The following is a 22763-nucleotide window of genomic DNA, read 5'->3' as shown; positions in this document are numbered from 1 at the left end:
GTTAACTTGCCCAAGATTTTTCACCTATTAAGTGTCAGAGCCAGAATAGGATTTTAAGTGATATTTCATTTGAATCTAAGCTGAATGACCTATTCAAAAATCTATTTTTTCTTTAATGTGAAAGCTTCAAAAATTTTAAGCAAATGTGGTAGAACATAAGGATTCAATATGTATTTTTTTTCAGGCTTAGGAGATATTTCTGAAAGTATTCTTTCATTTGCCTTCCTCCTGAACCTGAAGTTTGGGGAATGTGTTTAATACCTGAACCTGGCAATTTCTTATGAAGCTGAAACTGAAACTACTAGTAAGAGTAGAGAGATCTTTATACTGTTACCTCCCTCAACCTCTGTTAACTAAGAGAGGTCTGTGTTTGTCAATAGCAGCAACAGGACTGGCTTTTATGCTCACATTGTCTTCTTTCTCAATCTGTACTGGGCACCTAGGTACTATATTTCTTGCACTTGAGAAGAGAGGGGTTGGGGCATTCATTTACTCTTCAGCACAGTTTGGATGTTATCTAGCAATGGTGCTTTGTGCCTTCTGCTAAGTTGTATCATAAATGCCCAATTAACCAGAACACAATTCTGTCTCTAGTGGTTAGCCCTTACCTGGCCTGTCTAGTATGTGATTCATGTTTACTCAATTAAATTAAATTAATTTAAGATGAACCCTTTGTTCCTTACATCTAACAGTTAAATTTTTTTCTTGATTATCAAATTATATCATTATTTGAGAAAATATGCAAAATATGTAAAAGCTTAAATAAAATTAAATTTTTCTAATTATACAATACAGGGATAACAACTGTTAAGATTTTGTTTCATGTAGATATGTTATATATACTTTTATATTTATCTGTTTAGGTCATCTTTTTTTTAACAAAATCAGTCATATTTTACTAACTTTGTAATTAACTTTTTTTCATTTGACATTCTTATTGCTGGGAGTTGATTCTTAAGATAACGGGGTACAAATTTATTTAAAAATCACATTCTGAAGTGTGTTCTAGTATACATGAAAATTCATTACATCCTCCTATAATTTTTGCATCTAAGGCAGGAGTTGTCACACTTTTTATGTAAAGAGCCAGACCATAAATATTTTTGGCGTTGTGGGCCTACAGTCCCTATTGTAGCTATTCATCCCAATTGTTGTAGCTCCAGAGCATCTATACATAATAGGTAAATGAATGGACTTGACTGTTCCAGTGAATTTTTTTTGCAAAAGTGGGTCTAGGCAGAATTTAATCTGAGGGCTGTAGTTTGTTGACCCTGGTCTAAGAGATATACTATGAGGATTTCTTTTCAGAACATGGTCAATATTAAAAATAGCTTAATACTATATCAACTTCTCTTATTATTAAGTTGGAAAAAGGATTAATAGTTTTTGAAAACATTTTAAGCTACAAGGTTTAAAACCCAAGGTTTTGATTAACCTTTGGTTAACCAAAACACAATTTAATGAATGTTTAATTAAAAATTGTATTCCCGGCCAGGTGCGGTGGGTCACGCCTGTAATCCCAGCACTTTGGGAGGCCAAGGTGGGCAGATCACTTGAGGTTGGGAGTTTGAGACCAGCTTGGCCAACATAGCAAAACCTCATCTCTATTTAAAAAGCAAAAAAAGGAAAAAAAAGAAAAACAATACAAAAATCCTCTATTCCCTAGAATTCTGAAAAAGTTTTGACTTGTATTATTCTGTTTAATATTTTTATTTTTCAAAAAAATTTTTTTACTATACTTTAAGTTCCAGGGTACATGTGCAGAACGTGCAGGTTTGTTGCATAGGTATACACGTGCCATGGTGGTTTGCTGCACCCATCAACCCATCATCTACATTAGGTATTTTTCCTAATGCTATCCATCCCCTAGCACCCCACCCCCAAACAGGCCCTGGTGTGTGATGTTCCCCTCCCTGTGTCCATGTGTTTTCATTGCTCAACTCTCACTTATGAGTGAGAACACGCTGTGTTTGGTTTTCTGTTCTTCTGAAAGTTTGCTGAGAATGATGGTTTCCAGCATCATCCGTGTCCCTGCAAAGGACATGAACTCATCCTTTTTTATGGCTGTGTAGTATTCCATGGTGTTTATGTGCCACATTTTCTTTATCCAGTCTATCATTGGGCATTTGGGTTGGTTCCAAGTCTATACTATTGTGAACAGTGCTGCAATAAACATATGTGTGCATGTGTCTTTATAGTAGAATGATTTATAATCCTTTGGGTATATACCCGGTAATGGGATTGCTGGGTCAAATGGTATTTCTAGTTCTAGATCCTTGAGGAATCGCCACACTGCCTTCCACAATGGTTGAACTAATTTACACTCCCACCAAAAGTGTAAAAGTGTTCCCATTTCTCCACATCCTCTCCAGCATCCGTTGTTTCCTGACCTTTTAATGATCACCATTCTAACTGATGTGAGATGGTATCTCATTGTGGTTTTGATTTGCATTTCTCCAGTGACTAGTGATGATGAGCATTTTTTCATGTGTCTTTTGGCTGCATAAATGTCTTCTTTTGAGAAGTGTCTGTTCATATCCTTTGCCCACTTTTTGATGGGGTTGTTAGTTTTTTTCTTCTAAATCTGTTTAAGTTTTTTGTAGATTCTGGATATTAGCCCTTTGTCAGATGGATAGATTGCAAAAATTTTCTCCCATTCCATAGGCTGCCTGTTCACTCTGATGATAGTTTGTTTTGCTGTGCAGAAGCTCTTTAGTTTAATCAGGTCCCATTTGTCAATTTTGGCTTTTGTTGTCATTGCTTTTGGTGTTTTAGTCATGAAGTCTTTGCCCATGCCTATGTCCTGAATGGTATTGCCTAGGTTTTCTTCTAGGGTTTTTATGGTTTTAGAGCTTATGTTTAAGTCTTTAATCCATCTTGAGTTAAGTTTTCCCAACACCATTTATTAAATAGGAAATCCTTTCCTCATTGCTTGTTTTTGTTAGGTTTGTCAAAGCTTTATTCTTTTTTTTGAGATGGAGTCTCACTCTGTCACCCAGGCTGGAGTGCAGTGGCGCAATCTCGGTTCACTGCAACATCTGCCTCCTGGGTTCAAGCGATTCTTCTGCCTCAGCCTCCTGAGTAGCTGGGACTACAGATGCATGCCACCACTCCTGGCTAATTCTTATATTTTTAGTAGAGAGGGGTTTCACCATATTGGCCATTTCGAGACCATACTCGAACTCCTGACCTCGTGATTTGCCCGCCTCATCCTCTCAAAGTGCTGGGATTACAGGTGTGAGCCACTGTGCCCGGCCAATATTTTTATTCCTAAGTGAAATGAAGAAACTATATTTTGAACACTAATGATATCTTATATAATCCAGCTAAACAATATTTATAGTTTTCCCTGGCTTTGTACAATGCTATGCATTTACATGTTTTAATTACATCTATATTTTGCTCCAAGGAGAGATTTAAAGCTCTTTTGACACTTTGAATCATTTTTAAATATGGTTGGCAGAAAATGATTAGGGTACTGTCACTTTGGAGCATTTCAGTGTTGGCACATTTCTGCACATGTAGACCGTACAGTATCCTCTTCAGTATAAGAGTTGTGCTTTTTAATTTTTTTTCCCCACTATGTATCTTTTTTTGGATTCTGTCATAGGTATACTTTTTTGGTGGTGGTTTTAAAATAGTTTAGCATGGAAATTGGACACAATCGATGGATAGAATGTTCTTCTACTGGTCAGTCACTAAATGATCTGCAAGTTTTTTGATACGATTTGCATTCTTGTGATTGCTTTGCTCCTAATACAATGCACACATAAACACCTGTCTGTCATTGACTATAAGGGTTTAAACCTAAGCTATTGTGTGATTTATGATGTTGTCATTAGAAATCATGCAGGAAAAATAGATTTTGAGTGGCACAGCTTGAGTATTAAATATCATTTCCTTTTAATTTTAGCATGCACATTATAGCAGAACTACAGTATTAAGACTTCTTGAAACGAAATATAAGTCTCTGGTAAGTCTGTAATTCTGTTTTTATGTTGAGAAATAATATCACCAGAATATATATGATGTAATAACTTGACTATGCAAAGTTGTGTGGTGATAATTAATATTGGATAATGAAGCAATTCGCCTTTTATGTGATCTTAAACTACCATCCTGTGACACATAAAGGGATAAAAATAGAGACTTAAAATGAATGCAGTCAGGATAACAATTAGAAAATATGTTTTATATATATAGTAAATTGGCTTCTATATATAACAAGCTAGTTTGAGAGAAGCCATATTTTTAAGCAGTAGCATGTAGTTCGATTCACATCAAGTATTCATAAAGCCATTACTTTTATAATATAGACCCATGTTTTTCAGTGAAAATTACATGGAAAAACTCAAAATGATAAATACTTTTGCATTTTCAATAATTGGTTTGAGTTATACCAAATGTAGACTTAATACTCTAAAATATGTTACCAAAATCATCTACATTTGTTACTATTAGTAGAACAATGTAAGGGTACTGAAAATAATTAAAAAGAAATCAGCAAGTCTAATAAATAATTGACAAAATGAAAAACACAAAATTTATTAAGACATTCAAATGTTATACTGATATAGCTTTGGGTCAATAAACATCTTTTATGTAGTTAGGCAGAACCTTGAGTTTGGAAGTCAGGTGAAGAAAAGATTCCGGAATTGTGATTTTTGGTTGAGTGCAGTAGAGCATAAAATGAAGGAAGGAGAACAATAATTGTTGTGTGTTTGAGAATCCAGAGAATTGAGCAGCAGAAGAAGAGAGGGATATTGAATAATAGGATAAGAATTTATTTGTAAAGGTAAAATATACTTCAAAATTTTTAAAGAAATTGAATTTAAATAGGTTTTTCCACATTTGATTTTTCTCTCATTCCCATTTTAAATAAAAATTTGTTGTTGCTTTATGAGCATAGACTGATCTTGCTAGAATAGAGAAAGGAAAAATAAAGAACAGGATGATTTTCCCCATGGTTTATGTACAGATAATGACTCACTGTTGCTATCACAGAGGCCCCAGTGAAAGTATTTCAAATAAGGTTTTTTATAGATTAATTCTTAAAATTGGTTTCTTATTTGAAAAGTTAACTATACCTTGACTTTTAACCTGCAAATGGAATTATGTCATTATAAATCATCTTAATATTTTTATCAACTTAGTCAAATATTTTATGTATATAGTATGTCAAACTTGTTTGACATTTCAACTTAAACCTCATTTGCACTAAAAAGCTTTCCTACATTTACAAAATATCAAAATATTATTCATTTTATATTTATTTTTTAAAAGTAAACTTGGCCCCACTTTTGAAAATAAACATTGGGGAAAATGATGCAAGATCTGTTTATTCCCATTGTATTTTCAGAATCAAGGGTCAAATTTTGTGCATCTGTGATGGAAATTGCAGACCACTCCATCCATTTGTGTTTCTGTTCTAAAAGAGATTCTTGTATAAGAACTTTACTCATAGCAGCCTGTTTAGCATGATGACCTGCTGATGTATTTCCTCTAGCTTCTCATCAGTGCTCTCTGATGTCGTTTTCTGCAATGATGAAATATCTGTGTTGTACAATATGGTAACCACAAGCCACATATGACTGCTGAAAACTTGAAATGAGACTAGAGTAAATGAGAAACTGTATTTTTAATTTTATTTAGTTTTTATTAATTTAAATTTAAATAGGCATGTGGTTGGTGGCTACTGTATTTGTGTGGTTCTATTCTATCTTATGTTTATGACATTTTTAGTAGGTAGCATTAAGCTATCAATTTTTGTATATGCTGTTGGTTTTTTATAGATATCCCTGAAAAAGTTAAGATAGTCTTTGTTCCCATAGAATCTGAAAGACATGAACTGGTTAAAAGTTTTGGCTGTCGGCCTAAATATTTAACCTTTAATTTTTAACAGTTTGAATCTTGATTCAGTCAACCCCTAAAGGAATGGTTTCTGAAATGGTTTTATGTAGTGCCATTTTTACTGCTCTCTGAAAGTCATTTTAAAAATGACTTGACGGCTTGGTTATTTAAATTCTCCCTTGGTTTTTCGTGTCTTATTGTATTTAACCTTTTTTAAAATTTCTGTCTTAGGGGTTAACAATTAAATGAACTGGCTGGTATATATTTGATAGTATAGGGCAATAAGTATCAAATACAATCCTGAGTTTTATAGCAAATTTCTGTCTATTTTCACAGGGGTTAGAAAAATCATTCATTATACTCTCAACTTGACTCTTTAAATTCACCTACTATAGATCTGCTTTCTGCTACTGTGGTTTAAAGGGATGTCATGTAATGTGATTGTTCATGTCCTGAGATTATTCCTTTTCTTTCCTGTGATTGCTACCTTTTCTCAAATAAAGATAGCATGTTTAAGAAAATATAAGGGAAAGAGTATAAGGAAAAGAAGGGAGTGTAAGTAAGTGGATGGTGAAGATAAAGCTGGGTAGTAATGGATGCAAGGAGGGTGGATTTCTAAAGGTTCAAATGAACGAAAGAGTCTTTGAGAGAGATTATTTTGGAGACAGTGTTTTGAGTTTTCAGTTAAAGAAGCGGACTATTGTTTGTTCTTTTGTCTTCTAATTCTTAAGAGCTTCTCTTAAGTGTATTATTTTATAAATTTTTCATGTCAAAAGTTTCCTAAAGTGTCAGTTGTTATTTTAATCCACTTTGTTTTGTTTTGTTTTTTGTTAGAAAATGGGTCAAAGGAGAAGTATTGAAGCAAAACGATGTTTAAGACATTGTATAATAGTGCAAGCAAAAGATGATGGAACCATGGAAGAAGGATAAGACAGAATTGGGATAAATGGATGGACTCAAAATACTTTATTTAGAATGTAGGATTTAGAGGACTTTTGAATGAGGGGGTTGTGATTGAGGCCTCAGACAATTGACTAATGTCATTCATTGAGATAAGTAACACAGTAGGAGGCAAACATTTGCTGGAAAAGATAATGATTTTTAGATTTGGTAGGTTTAATCATATTTGAAATGCAGATTTCTAGGAGGCATGGGTCTGGATCCCTGACGTTTGATTTAGAAAAGACAGGTAGATATGGGAGGGGGAGGGTCCCCAAGACAACCCCCCAGGTTTGATGATTTGCTAGAAGGATTCGTAGGATTCAGCATATAGTTATGCTCTCAGCTGTCATTTATAACAATGAAAGGATACAAAGAAAAATCAGCAAAAAGGAAAAAGTTCATTGAGTGAAGTATGGAAGATATGAAAGTATAAGCTTCCAAGAGTCTTTTTCCCACTAGAATCACATAAGACATGCTTAACTCTTTCAGCATTGAATTGTGGCAACTTATGTGAAATGTTATATACCAGGGAAGCTCATTAGAAACTCAGTGCCTGGTTTTTGTTTTTGAGGTGGGGGTGCTGTTCACATAGAAACCCTCTGCCTGGTACATACCAGGGTCCAAGACTCCTAGAAGGAAAGCAGGTATTCCTCATAAACCACATTATTTGTGCAAACATTGTCAGCCATTCTCAGTTCTCAGAATGATGAGAGCCCTCCTGAAATCCAAGTTCCTAGATGCTATCAAAATCCCACCTTGTAAGGAGGCCTTTCTAAAGACAGAAGTCCTGCCATGTTACCTCTTTTCTGCATACAACTGAGGCCATAAGAAAGAATGAGATGGGAAAATCCATTGATTCCTTGGCGCTACAATTATGAACTTGCTTCTTTTCAAACCTTTATTTTTTTCCTATCTAAAGCTTAATTAATCATTCCTTCCACTTGGATTCCATCTGCTTCTTCCTCTTGTGTATTTTTTTTTTCTATCAACTATCCCCTTTCTCTCCTATATAGTCAAACTCTTCCCCTCTGTTGGCTTCCCCCAGTAACATTTAAGCATAACCATATCCTTCTTAGCTGAAAAAGAGTTTAATCTTGACTCTAAGATACAGTTGCTGGTCTATTTTTTAAATTTTTCTCAGCTGTCTTTCCTGAAAATAAAAATTATGCTAACTGCCTTTACTTTTTCACTTCCTATTCCTTTATTTGGTATAGTCTGGCTTTATTCACCAAACTCCTCTGAAAGTGATCTTTTCAAGGTCACCAACAACTGCCTTGTTACCAGATTTAATAATTATCACACCGTATATCACTGGTGGCTTTTTTTTTTTTTTTTTTGGAATTAGGATAAGAGGCCATCGATGGGTAGGCAGGTGCTGAGGAAAGGGGAGAAGGTTTGAAGTCTCTGCTTGTGGAGAATGAGAGGAGGAGTTAGAATGGAGACTAATAGGAGAATCACTGAGTACAGTAGGGGTTGGAGATCATTTTTTATTGTGACTCTTTTCTTTGAATTATGAGAATTTTCTTTTATCAGTTTTTAGCATTTCTGGTATTTGAGATGGAAATAAAGACTTGATCCACTTGATATTTTGCTAGCTGGGTAGGAGGAAAAGATTCTAAGGCAAAGGAACTGGACAAGATAGTTTCTAAAGTTATGGCAATGGCCACAGAGTTTTTGCGTTTTTCACTATAAAATATAAATTACATATTTATTTCTGTCCAATGACACCAACATTATAACATTATCATATTTGTTGGTCCACAAATATTTTCACAGTGTTCACCAGAGTGATGCCATAGTTAAAATGTAATTGAGGAGGCTGAGCTTTAAGGGCTAGAAAGGTACTGTACTAAATATTTTTCTCAAATATTTCTCCAAAGTATTTTTACAGCTTTGACTAATTTCTTTTAATTCTTGGACTTGAGGGCTGCAAAGTTCTGGAATTAATAACTTATTATTTCATCAGGTAACTACAGCCATTCAACAGTGTGTTCAGTACTTTGAAATGTGTAAGACTAGGAAAGCTGATGAAACTTTGGGACATTCAAAGCATTGCAGTAAGTATTATTTCCTCTATTACATACTTTTAAAAATGGTAAATTTTATTAGTAAATACAGTTTAGTAGGAACTTTTATTTTTTAATGATTGTTAGTATGGTAAATTAGGTCACTTTTACTAATGATGCTGTAAAATATATTTTACACATTTATAAGATACACTATAATCATTATTTTTTATAACAGATCTACATTTGAAATTAATGTACAACCATACTGATTCTTATTAGATGCAGTTCTTTGATTCATACTAGGGCATGTATCCTAATCTGTTATATTACAACAATATACAGTCCATCCTTTCCCCTTCAATAATGTATCAGTCATCTAATCAGGCATATATGCACTTTAATGGGAAAAAAACTTCCATAAAATGTTGTTTTTATTTTTGAACACCCTGTGTCACCCCGTGATCCTTCTTTGCTTATTCTGTGTCTGAGCTAAAATGTCTTGGATGCTTCGTAATCTGGCCCCAATTTCTTGATACAATCTCTTCTGTAGTTATTGACTAAAATGAATCTTCTCTTAGTCTTTTTTTTGCATTCCAATGCCTATACAACATTATTTTTACTCCTACTGCCCCATCTGTAATTCCCTACACTAATAGATATCTTATTTATCATGAAAGAAGAAACTGTATTTTATTTATTTATTTTTTTAGACAGAGTCTCGCTGTATCACCCAGGCTGGAATGCAGTGGCATGATCTGGACTCACTGCAACCTCTGCCTCCTGGGTTCAAGCGACTCTCCTGCCTCAGCCTCCCAAGTAGCTGGGAGTACAGGTGCCTGCCACCACATCTGGCTAAGTTTTTGTATTTTTAGTAGAGATGGGGTTTCACTGTGCTGGCCAGGCTGCTCTTGAACTCCTGACGTTGTGATCCACCCACCTTGGCCTCCCAAAGCACTGGGATTACAGGCATGAGCCACCGCGCCCTGCAGAAACTGTATTTTAAATTTCAAGGCCTCCCTGCTTATTCTGAATTTTTCTTGCTCTTGCTTATATCACACAATTGGCCATGTGAACCTGATAGCTTTTATTGTTCTGTTGTTTTTATATTGTTTCCTTAAGCATATAGTAAGCTCTTTTGAGAGTATGACGATATCTTATACTTTTCTTCATTCTCAGGTGAATTTCTTTATCTAACTCAAAGCAAGGGAGATGGTGATAGACCAATAATTAATGGGTTTCAAAAGCTAGTGTTTTGTAGGGGAGGAGAAAGTGTAGAAGTTATAATTTATTCTTCAAGAGAAGGAAAAGGACATATAAGTTCATATGTTATCTCATTTACAAACTTACAGATTTTTCTAATTTCTTGATATTAAAATGTAATATTTAGCTCCTTTCCCCTCATTACTTTCTTAGTCCTTCATGGTTTTGCTCTCTTCTCTATCTACTAAAGACCTCAGGGTGCTTCATTACATTTTTTTTTTTTGCCATGTTTTTAAAAAAATTCTTGCTCATTTCTCTTTCAGAGTTTTCTGCCTGCAGTTGCCCAACTTTAGGTCAATTCAATTCTCTATCTTTTCTGGTACTCAAGAAATTGAGCAGAGAGTATATGACATGGCTTGAGAGTAAATATATATTTTCTAGCTTCAGCTGCTCTCTCTCTGTTGCTTTGGAATCCTCCTAGATGTTCTTTCTTCAGCGTTCCGTAACAGCTATTACAAGCCCTTGTCAGTCTCGTCGAACCTTCTGCTTTGCTCCTGCCCAGTTCTCTCTCAGGAGGAGGAGCCCTTGCTTACTCTTTCACTAAGAAAAATAGAACTTTGCTGATGTGAATTCTCTAAGTGTCTTGCTTCTTTGTATGCAAATACATATGCGCCCTAATCAATATTTCCTTTTCTTAGCCTGCAAAGAAGAGATGTTTTGTTTTAGATTGGTGTCTTAATTCTGTTATCTTCTGTGTATATATATGTGAATGACAAATACATATTGGGAGATGTCTATATTGTAGAGATTCTAATTTCACTTAGACGTGCTTGTTAATATGATCTTTTGTAATACTGGCTTTTAATTGGTGGAATTAAACAGTAACTAACATTTTCTATTAACTTTCTTCTGCCCTTAACTTACTTTTGAAGTTCCTCTTCAGTGGCAGATAACTCTGGCAGTCTTATGGTATTTATTTTAGAATGGACACTATATGTATACTATTCTTTTCTGAGGCTGCTTTTTAAGATGATTGCTTTTCTTTGGGGATTTATTGTAAAGGATCTTAGGAAACAATAAGGAAAACAAATAATTAAAAAATTTTTGACCAGTAATGTCTCCATTCTAGCCTGTAGCCTTGTTTAATGTCTAGAAGGGAATGAAGACAGGTACTGTAAAATATAATGATACTAAATAAATATTCGTGTTTGCTTCTCTTTTAAGGAAACAAGCAGAAAACTTTCTACTACTTAGGACAAGAATTACAATATATTTATTTCATTCACTCACTGTGCCTTTTAGGAAGATTATTGATCTATAAACAAGGCAGAAAACTATTTCCTATTAAGCTGAAGAATAAAAAAGGTAAGTACAATTAGGAGAAATAAATTTGTTAAGATATGCTAAGATTTATATATGGTGGAGTATTCAAACTTGGAAATTTGGCATGTTCCTTTCTACGGTACTTAGCTACATACCTTTTAGTCTATTGATAGCTTATACACTTTGAAGTATTTGTTTTCTTTTAGTTTTCAGTATGTGCTTCTTTCTACATGTATTTTTTTTTTATTATTATTCCTTCAGCCTTTAGGGATCCAGATATAGATTTAGAGCTAGAAGACCTTGTTTAAGTTCTCATTCCATTATAAACTAGCAGTGATCTTTTGGGAAAATCACTTAACCTTTGTTGTTTCCATTTCTTTATCTGTAAAAATTGAATAGTGAAATTGGTAATATTTAAGTTACAGAATTTTTGTGATTACAGAGAAATGAGGTTGCAAATACTGTTTTATAAACTGCAAAGCCCTGTGTCATTTTGTATATTACCATATAATTTTTACCCTAAGTCTCATTTACTTTTTCCCCATCAAACTTCAGCACATGCTGTTAGTATATACTTAAACTCTTAAGGGAAGTAAAAATGATAACTAAGAATATAGTATATGGCAGGGAACAGCAAACTGTTTTTTGTTTTTTTGTTTTTTTTTGTAAAGCACCACATAGTAAATATTTTGGGCTGTTTTGACCACATACTGCTTTTGTATATTCTCTCTGTGTGTGTACAAAAAAGAATTAATGTAGCAGGCCTGAAACAACTATCCTTAGAAAGGCCAGCTTGCAAGGTTGGACCTTGGCTGGGACCTAGGAACTTAGATTTCCTATTGTTCCTAGAACTGATGAGTGCCTCAACTGTGCACTGATCACCGCCTAAACTGTACAGTGTGATTTATGTGGAGTACCTGGTTTTCTTTCTTTCTTTTTTTTTTTATTATACTTTAAGTTTTAGGGTACATGTGCACAACGTGCAGGTTAGTTACATATGTATACATGTGCCATGTTGGTAAACTGCACCCATTAACTCGTCATTTAACATTAGGTATATCTCCTAATGCTATCCATCCACCCTCCCCCAACCCCACAACAGGCCCCAGTGTGATGCTCCCCTTCCTGTGTCCATGTGTTCTCATTGTTCAATTCCCACCTATGAGTGAGAACATGTGGTGTTTGGTTTTTTTGTCCTTGAGATAGTTTGCAGAGAATGATGGTTTCTAGCTTCATCTGTGTCCCTACAAAAGACATGAACTCATCATTTTTTATGGCTGCATAGTATTCCATGGTGTATGTGTGCCACATTTTCTTAATCCAGTCTATCATTGTTGGACATTTGGGTTGGTTCCAAGTCTTTGCTATTGTGAATAGTGCCGCAATAAACATATGTGTGCATGTGTCTTTATAGCAGCATGATTTATAATCCTTTGGGTATATACCCAGTAATGGGACTGCTGGGTCAAATGGTATTTCTAGTTCACGATCCCTGAGGAATCGCCACACTGACTTCCACAATGGTTGAACTAGTTCACAGTCCCACCAACAGTGTAAAAGTGTTCCTATTTCTCCACATCCTCTCCAGCACCTGTTGTTTCCTGACTTTTTAATGATCGCCATTCTAACTGGTGTGAGATGGTATCTCATTGTGGTTTTGATTTGCATTTCTCTGATGGCCAGTGATGATGAGCATTTTTTCATGTGTCTTTTGGCTGCATAAATGTCTTCTTTTGAGAAGTGTCTGTTTATATCCTTTGCCCACTTGTTGATGGGGTTGTTTGTTTTTTTCTTGTAAATTTGTTTGAGTTCATTGTGGATTCTGGATATTAGCCCTTTGTCAGATGAATAGATTGCAAAACTTTTCTCCCATTCTGTAGGTTGCCCATTGACTCTGATGGTAGTTTCTTTTGCTGTGCAGAAGCTCTTTAGCTTAATTAGATCCCATTTGTCAATTTTGTCTTTTGTTGCCATTGCTTTTGGTGTTTTAGACATGAAGTCCTTGTCCATGCCTATGTCCTGAATGGTATTGCCTAGGTTTTCTTCTAGGGTTTTTATGGTTTTAGGTCTAATATTTAAGTCTTTAATCCACCTTGAATTAATTTTTGTATAAGGTGTAAGGAAGGGATCCAGTTTCAGCTTTCTACATATGTCTATCCAGTTTTCCCAGCACCATTTATTGAATAGGGAATCGTTTCCCCATTTCTTGTTTTTGTCAGGTTTGGCAAAGATCAGATGGTTGTAGATATGCGGCATTATTTCTGAGGGCTCTGTTCTGTTCCATTGGTCTATATCTCTGTTTTGGTACCAGTACCATGCTGTTTTGGTTACTGTAGCCTTGTAGTATAGTTTGAAGTCAGGTAGCCTGATGCCTCCAGCTTTGTTCTTTTGGCTTAGGATTGACTTGGCAATGCGGGCTCTTTTTTGGTTCCATATGAACTTTAAAGTAGTTTTTTCCAATTCTGTGAGGAAAGTCATTGGTAGCTTAATGGGGATGGGATTGAATCTATAAATTGCCTTGGGCAGTATGGCCATTGTCACGATATTGATTCTTCCTACCCATGAGCATGGAATGTTCTTCCATTTGTTTGTATCTTTTATTTCATTGAGCAGTGGTTTGTAGTTCTCCTTGAGGAGGTCCTTCACGTCCCTCGTAAGTTGGATTCCTAGGTATTTTATTCCCTTTGAAGCAATTGTGAATGGGAGTTCACTCATGATTTGGCTGTTTGTCTGTTATTGGTGTATAGGAATGCCTGTGATTTTTGTACATTGATTTTGTATCCTGAGACTTTGCTGAAGTTGCCTATCAGCTTAAGGAGATTCTGGGCTGAGATGATGGGGTTTTCTAGATATACAATCATGTCTTCTGCAAACAGGGACAATTTGCCTTCCTCTTTTCCTAATTGAATACCCTTTATTTCTTTCCCTTGCCTGATTGCCCTTGCCAGAACTTCCAACACTATTGTTGAATAGGAGTGGTGAGAGAGGGCATCCTTGTCTTGTGCCAGTTTTGAAAAGGAATGCTTCCAGTTTTTGCCCATTCAGTATGATATTGGCTGTAGGTTTGTCATAGATAGCTCTTATTATTTTGAGATACGTCCCATCAATACCTAATTTATTGAGAGTTTTTAGCATGAAGGGCTGTTGAATTTTGTCAAAGGCCTTTTCTGCATCTATTGAGATAATCATATGGTTTTTGTCGTTGGTTCTGTTTATATGCTGGATTACGTTTATTGATTTGTGTATGTTGAACCAGCCTTGCATCCCAGGGATGAAGCCCACTTGATTGTGGTGGATAAGCTTTTTGATGTGCTGCTGGATTTGGTTTGCCAGTATTTTATTGAGGATTTTTGCATCGATGTTCATGTGGGATATTGGTCTAAAATTCTCTTTTTTTGTTGTGTCTCTGCCAGGCTTTGGTATCAGGATGATGCTGGCCTCATAAAATGAGTTAGAGAGGATTCCCTCTTTTTCTATTGATTGGAATAGTTTTAGAAGGAATGGTACCAGCTCCTCCTTGTACCTCTGGTAGAATTCGGCTGTGAATCCATCTGGTCCTGGACTTTTTTTGGTTGGCAAGGTATTAATTATTGCCTGAATTTCAGAGCCTGTTATTGGTCTATTCAGAGATTCAACTTCTTCCTGATTTAGTCTTGGGAGGGTGTATGTGTTGAGGAATTTATCTATTTCTTCTAGATTTTCTAGTTTATTTGTGTAGAGGTGTTTATAGTATTCTCTGATGGTAGTTTGTATTTCTGTGGGATCGGTGTTGATATCCCCTTTATCATTTTTTATTGCGTCTATTTGATTCTTCTCTCTTTTCTTCTTTATTAGTCTTGTTAGCAGTTTATCAATTTTGTTGATCTTTTCAAAAAACCAGCTCCTGGATTCATTGATTTTTTGAAGAGTTTTTTGTGTCTTTATTTCCTTCAGTTCTGCCCTGGTCTTAGTTATTTCTTGCCTTCTGCTAGCTTTTGAATGTGTTTGCTCTTGCTTCTCTAGTTCTTTTAATTGTGATGTTAGGGTGTCAATTTTAGATCTTTCCTGATTTCTCTTGTGGGCATTTAGAGCTATAAATTTCCCTCTACACACTGTTTTGAATGTGTCCCAGAGATTCTGGTATGTTGTGTCTTTGTTCTCATTGGTTTCAAAGAACATCTTTATTTCTGCCTTCATTTTGTTATGTACCCAGTAGTCGTTCAGGAGCAGGTTGTTCAGTTTCCATATAGATGAGCGGTTTTGAGTGAGTTTCCTAATCCTGAGTTCTAGTTTGATTGCACTGTGGTCTGAGAGACAGTTTGTTATAATTTCTGTTCTTTTACATTTGCTGAAGAGTACTTTACTTCCAACTATGTGGTCAATTTGGAATAAGTGCGGTGTGGTGTTGGGAAGAATGTATATTCTGTTGATTTGGGGTGGAGAGTTCTGTAGATGTCTATTAGGTCTGCTTGGTGCAGAGCTGAGTTCAATTCCTGGATATCCTTGTTAACTTTCCGTCTTGTTGATCCATCTAATGTTGACAGTGGGGTGTTAAAGTCTCCCATTATTATTGTGTGGGAGTGTAAGTCTCTTTGTAGGTCTCTAAGGACTTTCTTTATGAATCTGGGTGCTCCTGTATTGGGTGCATATATATTTAGGATAGTTAGCTCTTCTTGTTGAATTGATCCCTTTACCATTATGTAATGGCCTTTTTTGTCTCTTCTAATCTTTGTTGGTTTAAAGTCTGTTTTATTAGAGACTAGGATTGCAACCCCTGCCTTTTTTTGTTTTCCATTTGCTTGGTAGATCTTCCTTCATCCTTTTATTTTCAGCCTATGTGTTTCTCTGTACGTTAGGTGGGTTTCTTGAATACAGCACACTGATGGGCCTTGACTCCTTATCTAATTTGCTACTCCGTGTCTTTTAATTGGAGCATTTAGCCCATTTACATTTAAGGTTAATATTGTTATGTGTGAATTTGATCCTGTCATTATGATGTTAGCTGGTTATTTTGCTTGTTAGTTGATGCAGTTTCTTCCTAGCCTTGATGGTCTCTACAATTTGGCATGTTTTTGCAGTGGCTGGTACCGGTTGTTCCTTTCCATGTTTAGTGCTTCCTTCAGGAGCTCTTTTAGGGCAGGCCTGGTGGTGACAAAATCTCTCAGCATTTGCTTGTCTGTAAAGAATTTTATTTCTCCTTCACTTTTGAAGCTTAGTTTGGCTGGATATGAAATTCTGGGTTGAAAATTATTTTCTTTAAGAATGTTGAATATTGGCCCCCACTCTCTTCTGGCTTGTAGAGTTTCTGCTGAGAGATCAACTGTTAGTCTGATGGGCTTCCCTTTGTGCGTAACCCGACCTTTCTCTCTGGCTGCCCTTTACATTTTTTCCTTCATTTGAACTTTGGTGAATCTGACAATTATGTGTCTTGGAGTTGCTCTTCTCGAGGAATATCTTTGTGGCGTTCTCTGTATTTCCTGAATTTGAATGTTGGCCTGCCTTGCTAGGTTGGGGAAGTTCTCCTGGATAATATCCTGTAGAGTGTTTTCCAACTTGGTTCCATTCTCCCCATCACTTTCAGGTACACCAATCAGACGTAGATTTGGTCTTTTCATATAGTCCCATTCATATAGTCCCATATTTCTTGGAGGCTTTGTTCATTTCTTTTTATTCTTTTTTCTCTAAACTTCTCTTCTCGCTTCATTTCATTCATTTCATCTTCCATCACTGATACCGTTTCTTCCAGTTGATCAAATCGGCTACTGAGGCTTGTGCATTCGTCACGTAGTTCTCGTGCATTGGTTTTCAGCTCCATCAGGTCCTTTAAGGACTTCTCTGCATTGGTTGTTCTAGTTAGCCATTTATCCAATTTTTTTTCAAGGTTTTCAACTTCTTTGCCATGGGTTCGAACTTCCTCCTTTAGTTTGGAGTAGTTTGATCTTCTGAAGGCTTCCTCTCTCAACTCGTCAAAGTCATTCTCCATCCAGCTTTGTTCCGTTGCTGGTTAGGAGCTGCGTTCCTTTGGAGGAGGAGAGGCGCTCTGATTTTTAGAGTTTCCAGTTTTTCTCCTCTGTTTTTTCCCCATCTTTGTGGTTTTATCTACCTTTGGTCTTTGATGATGGTGACGTATAGATGGGGTTTTGGTGTGGATGTTCTTTCTGTTTGTTAGTTTTCCTTTTAACAGTCAGGACCCTCAGCTACAGGTCTGTTGTAGTTTGCTGGAGGTCCACTCCAGACCCTGTTTGCCTGGGTATCAGCAGCAGAGGCTGCAGAACAGCGGATATTGGTGAACAGCAGATGTTGCTGCCTGATTGTTCCTTTGGAAGTTTTGTCTCAGAGGAGTACCTGGCCGTGTGAGGTGTCAGTCTGCCCCTACTGGGGGGTGCCTCCCAGTTAGGCTACTCGGGGGTCAGGGACCCACTTGAGGAGGCAGTCTGTCAGTTCTCAGATGTCCAGCTGCTTGCTGGGAGAACCATTACTCTCTTCAAGGCTCAGTTGGAAATGCAGAAATCACCCGTCTTCTGCGTCGCTCACGCTGGGAGCTGTAGACTGGAGCTGTTCCTATTTGGCCATCTTGGCTCCACCCCTCGTACCTGGTTTTCTTTTGGGAGTTTAAAATTTTGGCATGTGCTAGGTAGAGTGTGGTTACATGCTTAGATCCCCCAAAAACCTAAGGGACTGGGTCTCTAATGAATTTTCCTGGTAGATGACATTTCACATGTGTTGTCATAACTTGCTGCTGAAATAATTAAATGTATTCTGTATGACTCAACCAGGAGAGGACACTTAGAAGTTTATACTGGTTAGCTCTGGACTTCAACCCATGCACTTTTGCCCTTTGATTTTGCTTTGTATCCTTTTGTTATAATAAATCATAGCTGTGAATACAGTTACATGTTGAATCCTCTGAGTCTTCTTAGTGAATCATTGAATCTGGGCATGGTTTTGTGGACCTCTGACACATTTAAAAAATGTGAAATCCATTCTTATCTTGTGAGCCTTATGAAATCAGCCCACAATGGCTATAGTTTGCTGACCCCGTTACACAGTATATTTATTTTGAATACTCTTTTATACTGTTTTGTAGCTTTTTTATTTCTCTAAATCTTTTCTTCTCATTGATTGTGAGCTCCTTGAGAAAAGACATTGCCTTATATACATCTCTTGTAGTTCCCATGGTAGTGCCACATAATTCTATGCATAATGAGCACTCAGTAGGTAATTGACTTTTAATAAAAAAGCTATTATTTTATAGGATACTGTTGAACTTTACAGAAATATACTAATGTATACTTGTGATGTTGATGCAGTATTCAGCTTACATTTATATGTCTATAATTTATTTATCATTTTATATTGACTTTTAACATCTACATTTTGGCCTACCAGATATTATAGACCACCTGAAAATTGAGTTTGTAGTGGTTTATTCTACTATATTAGCATAGGTCAACTTTCACCTTTAAGTTTCACATGTGATTTCACCAGACTCTTTTAATGTAAGCCTCTATAGCAAGAGTTGATAAATTTTGTCTATGGGCCACATTTGGTCCACTATCTTGTTTGTACAGTTGTGAGCTAAGAATGGTTTTTATCTTTTTAAATTGTTCAGAAAAGGGTGTTTTGTGATATGTAAGAAATATACATTAAATTTTAGTGCACACAAAGTTTTATTGGAAAATAGCCATACTCATTCATTTGCATATCATCTACATATACTTAGTGCTACCATGGCAGACTTGAGTATTTGTGACAGAGACCATTTGGCCACAAAATCTAAAATATTTACTCTGGAGTCCTTTAAAGAGAAAGTTTGCTAAGCCCTGTTCTACAGTTTTGTGTAGATAAGTTAGCTGGACCAACTTGGTAAGCTGAATTTTACTACTCCTAATTGAATAAACTCAAATAGCCTTAATCAGATTCATACATCTTCCTAGCATAGGTTTATCTTAAGTGATTGGTTCGAAATAAGTGGTAAAACTGTACCTTTACATAGCACCTACAGCATTGCTTGCCTTGCCGTGTTTTAATTTGTATGTAATTTGTTATGGAGTCTTCTATCTGAGATTATAGCTCCCTTCTTCCTGATTGCCTCGTAGTCTGTACAAAACCTCAACTATATAGATGGATGAAAGCTCAGTTAAATTTCTCTTAAGTTGAAAGAATATGCTAGAAATTAATTTTCTCTTTATTTTCTTTTTAAAGGTTTGGTATCCCTCATAGATCTGCTTGTTCTTTTTACCCAACTTATCTATTACTCACCAAGTTGTCCAAAGATGACATCAGCTGCCCATTCAGGTAATTCTGTTTCTATTTTAAATAGAGAAATATAAAACATCTAAAAATATTTAAGTATTCTATTGTCTAGATGTTTTGAGTGCCTGACCTACTTTGGTAAGTAGGTTTCATTAAGATACAGTATTAAGAGAAATTACATTGGTCCTGAAGTAAGCCATGAAATTTAATTTTGTTCACTGATGTTTTAAGATGTTTCCACTCTACTACTCTTTTTATTTAGAATCAGTATCAGTGAGAATTTTAATGATGTTCTTTATTAAGATCAAAATGTTCTCAAGACATGATACTGGGGGATATTTGATGATAGGTCATAATGTGATTTTTTTTTCCTGTTATTTTCCATTCTTTATACTTTCTAAAATGTTTTGATCAACTCACTTGTTTTGGCTTACATCCAAAACTCCAATCTTTTCAGGGTCTTCTTTTATTGAAGAATAAAGAAAAAACCGTTCATGTTTTTCAGAAAAATGCCTTTTAGTTTTATGGCTGTTGACTAGCTTTTAAAAATGTTCTAAATAACTTATATTTTTCCTTTGAGTATCAAGAATAGTTTCCAAAGTAAAACACTTAATAATAAAACACACCAGTGTGCATAGACATACAGTGTTCTAAAACTAGGAAATAACCCTAGAATTGCTGACACAAATTCTGAGACGAACTCAAGTGAATCAAAGAAAAAAATGGTTTGGGATGTATATTAGTGCTATAACATATCTATCAACTGGTAGGTTATTATTCAGTACAGTGTTCACTGTTCAGGTGACGGGTACACCAGAAGCCCAAATCTCACCATTATTCAGTATATCCATGTAACAAGCTGACACATGTACCTTCTGAATCTATTTAAAAAAATATGAAACTAATAGTTTTTATCCAAGCAATTATATTAGCCTATTGATCTTCACAGTGGTTCTCAGACTTTTTTCTGTCTTTACAGCATTTACATGTATAAAGAACTAGCTTAGGTCTTCTGACTATACACTCTTACAGCATAGACATCTTTTATGATTAAAATCATCTTTCTTTGTTCTAAATACTTGTTTATATATTGGTTTACCATGATGTGGACTGTTTTTGTCTTATTTACTTTTCTGTTCATAGTTAGTTCCTAGTACAGTGTCTGGTATGTATTAGGCACTTAATAAATAGAAGATGATTGGATGAGTGAAAGAATGACCATATGCTCATCAATAATATCTGTCCTTGTAAACAGGGTTTCTCACTTGAAGCTGGTTGAAAAATCACTGAACTTTCCTTTTCCATTTTCTTTTTGTCAGATATTGACCTGAAGTCAGCGTGTTTATTGACTATGGAATATTGTAACATAAGTTAGAATAGTTTCCAAAGTAAAACACTTAATAATAAAACACACCAATAATGCATAGACATACAGTGTCTAAATACTAAAGTGTTGTATCTTACTAGGACAATCTTACCTTAAAAACTATTGTTTTGAGGATATTAGATTATATATCTGAAAATTTGTCAATTTATGAAACTGAAAATCATTTAATTCAGTGATGATTCCAACCATGTTAAACTTTTGTGTATTGTGTTTTCCTGTATATACTATATTTTGAAAGAAAATCTAAAAAATGATCTTTGTTTTCACTGGCTTTATGGTAATACAAGAAGTATACTAGTGTCTATAAAAGTTTATGAAATTTCCATTCTCTTCTGCCTCCTTTTTCCCATTTTCTTGTTTGAATGTAATTTTCCTGTAGGCTCAATACTTGAGTATATTATTTAAGAAAAAATAAATATGAGTATGGTAAAAGTGTATTCTAGGGAGAAAAACATGTTTTCTAGGAGGAAAAAAGCTGTACATTTGCTTCAGACCAAATCTTTAATATTAAGCAGTAATTTAATGTTGGACAGTAAATAATTTTGTATTCTCGTCTTTTGGCATTCATGTTTGTTGTCATTTGCTTACTTTTTATTTTAAGCCAATTGAGATTCCCCTAAGTCAGGTTATAATTTGGTAGTACATCTTCCTTTGGATATTGAGTTGTATGACTTTTGAAGTACTGAATTAACTTTGATGTTGAACTTTTTGGAACAACAACAGCTAACATAAAATAGTTCTAAGTATTTAATGTTTTGGTATTAAAAAATATTTATTGTTTATTAGAGAATTACTCTCCTGCAAGTATGGTGACTGAAGTTCTGTGGATACTCAGTGATCAAAAAGAATGTGCAGTGGAATGCTTATATAACAACATTGTAATAGAGACACTTCTTCAGCCTATTCACAATTTAATGAAAGGAAATGAGGTTCGTATTATTTACTAAGGAGAAAAAGAGTCTCTTACCTGGGTATTAGTGGATACTCAGTGGGACTTTATTTCTAAATTTGAAATATTTTATTATGCTGTCCTTCCATATATGAATGTATTTTGTGTTGATATATATTTTTATTTATTATTAAATTATAGCTTATGCAGTTGATTGATTTATTATGATATGCAGAGGGAAAGAACATAGAATATCTAAGTTTTTTTTTAATTGGACTAGATCTGCTGATGCAAATAATTTAGAAAAGTTATTCTATTAAGAAGTTATTTGTTTTGCAAATCTAATAAATCTCATAAATGTTTTGTTATTTGTTTTATGGCATTGTTATAGGTTTTGGAAATGTGATTATTTTCCTTAGTAACCAACTCTGTTTTATATTAAGAAGAACTACTTTAGAGAGAACACTTATATAGAATTCCAATTTGAACAGATGTATGTCTCTTTACAGTTTGCACAATATATTCCCTTACATTATATAATTTAATAATCACAACTGAGGCTGAAATAAGTGACTTGCTTTAGGTCAGACATTTAACAAGTGGCAGAGTTGCTATTGTCACTAGTTTGGGTGTCTGTTCAGTACCTCCCTCTACTTGTATGACTTAAGCTTCTGGGCAGTGATTTTTAAGGCTTATCAATAGGTTAAAAGCTTTTGCTTTTTCATATCTATTTTGAGGTGTTTTTACTGTTTTCATCTTCCTCTTATGTTCACCCATCAATGGGCTGTCACATGCTTTTCTGCTTGTTGCTTGCTAGGTTAACTTGGCAAATGCCAAGTTTTCTGTCCCCTAATTACTTTCTTTCTTATATAGTCCAGTTATAATAGATAGTTTGCACTTTCTAAATAAGGTTATTATATCTCCTTGT

The 22763-nt window shown here is 35.1% G+C and overlaps 1 protein-coding gene across 24 annotated transcripts in view, besides 3 other annotated features; it reads left to right on the top strand.

Annotated features, from left to right (window-relative positions):
- TBC1D32 (TBC1 domain family member 32) overlaps window positions 1-22763 on the top strand; it is a 255236-nt gene that overhangs the window by 31311 nt on the left and 201162 nt on the right. For 23 of the 24 annotated variants that reach the window (NR_104452.2, XR_942346.3, XM_047418311.1 and 20 more), the window contains 5 exons: window positions 3914-3973; window positions 8759-8849; window positions 11226-11366; window positions 19509-19601; window positions 21733-21875. Coding sequence is in view for 22 of the 24 variants with exons in the window: in XM_047418311.1 (XP_047274267.1) it covers window positions 3914-3973; window positions 8759-8849; window positions 11226-11366; window positions 19509-19601; window positions 21733-21875 (528 nt within the window). In the remaining 2 variants the exon portion in view is untranslated. Of the gene's footprint in view, window positions 1-3913; window positions 3974-8579; window positions 8634-8758; window positions 8850-11225; window positions 11367-19508; window positions 19602-21732; window positions 21876-22763 lie in introns of those variants that run through there. The other variant, XM_011535580.3, reaches the window with a different exon arrangement.
- Window positions 7200-7369: an enhancer, noted in NCBI's record as "experimental_89101 CRE fragment used in MPRA reporter constructs". NCBI's record gives its function as "activates a minimal promoter by MPRAs in K562 erythroleukemia cells, with activity observed for both the introgressed and non-introgressed 6:121617281 variant alleles {active_cell/tissue: K562}" and the evidence as "EXISTENCE:reporter gene assay evidence [ECO:0000049][PMID:34662402]".
- Window positions 12249-12418: an enhancer, noted in NCBI's record as "experimental_89073 CRE fragment used in MPRA reporter constructs". NCBI's record gives its function as "activates a minimal promoter by MPRAs in K562 erythroleukemia cells, with activity observed for the non-introgressed 6:121612232 variant allele {active_cell/tissue: K562}" and the evidence as "EXISTENCE:reporter gene assay evidence [ECO:0000049][PMID:34662402]".
- Window positions 19549-19718: an enhancer, noted in NCBI's record as "experimental_89060 CRE fragment used in MPRA reporter constructs". NCBI's record gives its function as "activates a minimal promoter by MPRAs in K562 erythroleukemia cells, with activity observed for both the introgressed and non-introgressed 6:121604932 variant alleles {active_cell/tissue: K562}" and the evidence as "EXISTENCE:reporter gene assay evidence [ECO:0000049][PMID:34662402]".

This window comes from Homo sapiens, chromosome 6 (genome assembly GCF_000001405.40).
Source record: "Homo sapiens chromosome 6, GRCh38.p14 Primary Assembly".
In the NCBI taxonomy this organism is placed as follows: domain Eukaryota; kingdom Metazoa; phylum Chordata; class Mammalia; order Primates; family Hominidae; genus Homo; species Homo sapiens.
Note: the sequence above shows the minus strand (reverse complement) of the source record. Positions and strands in the feature narration are given on the sequence as shown.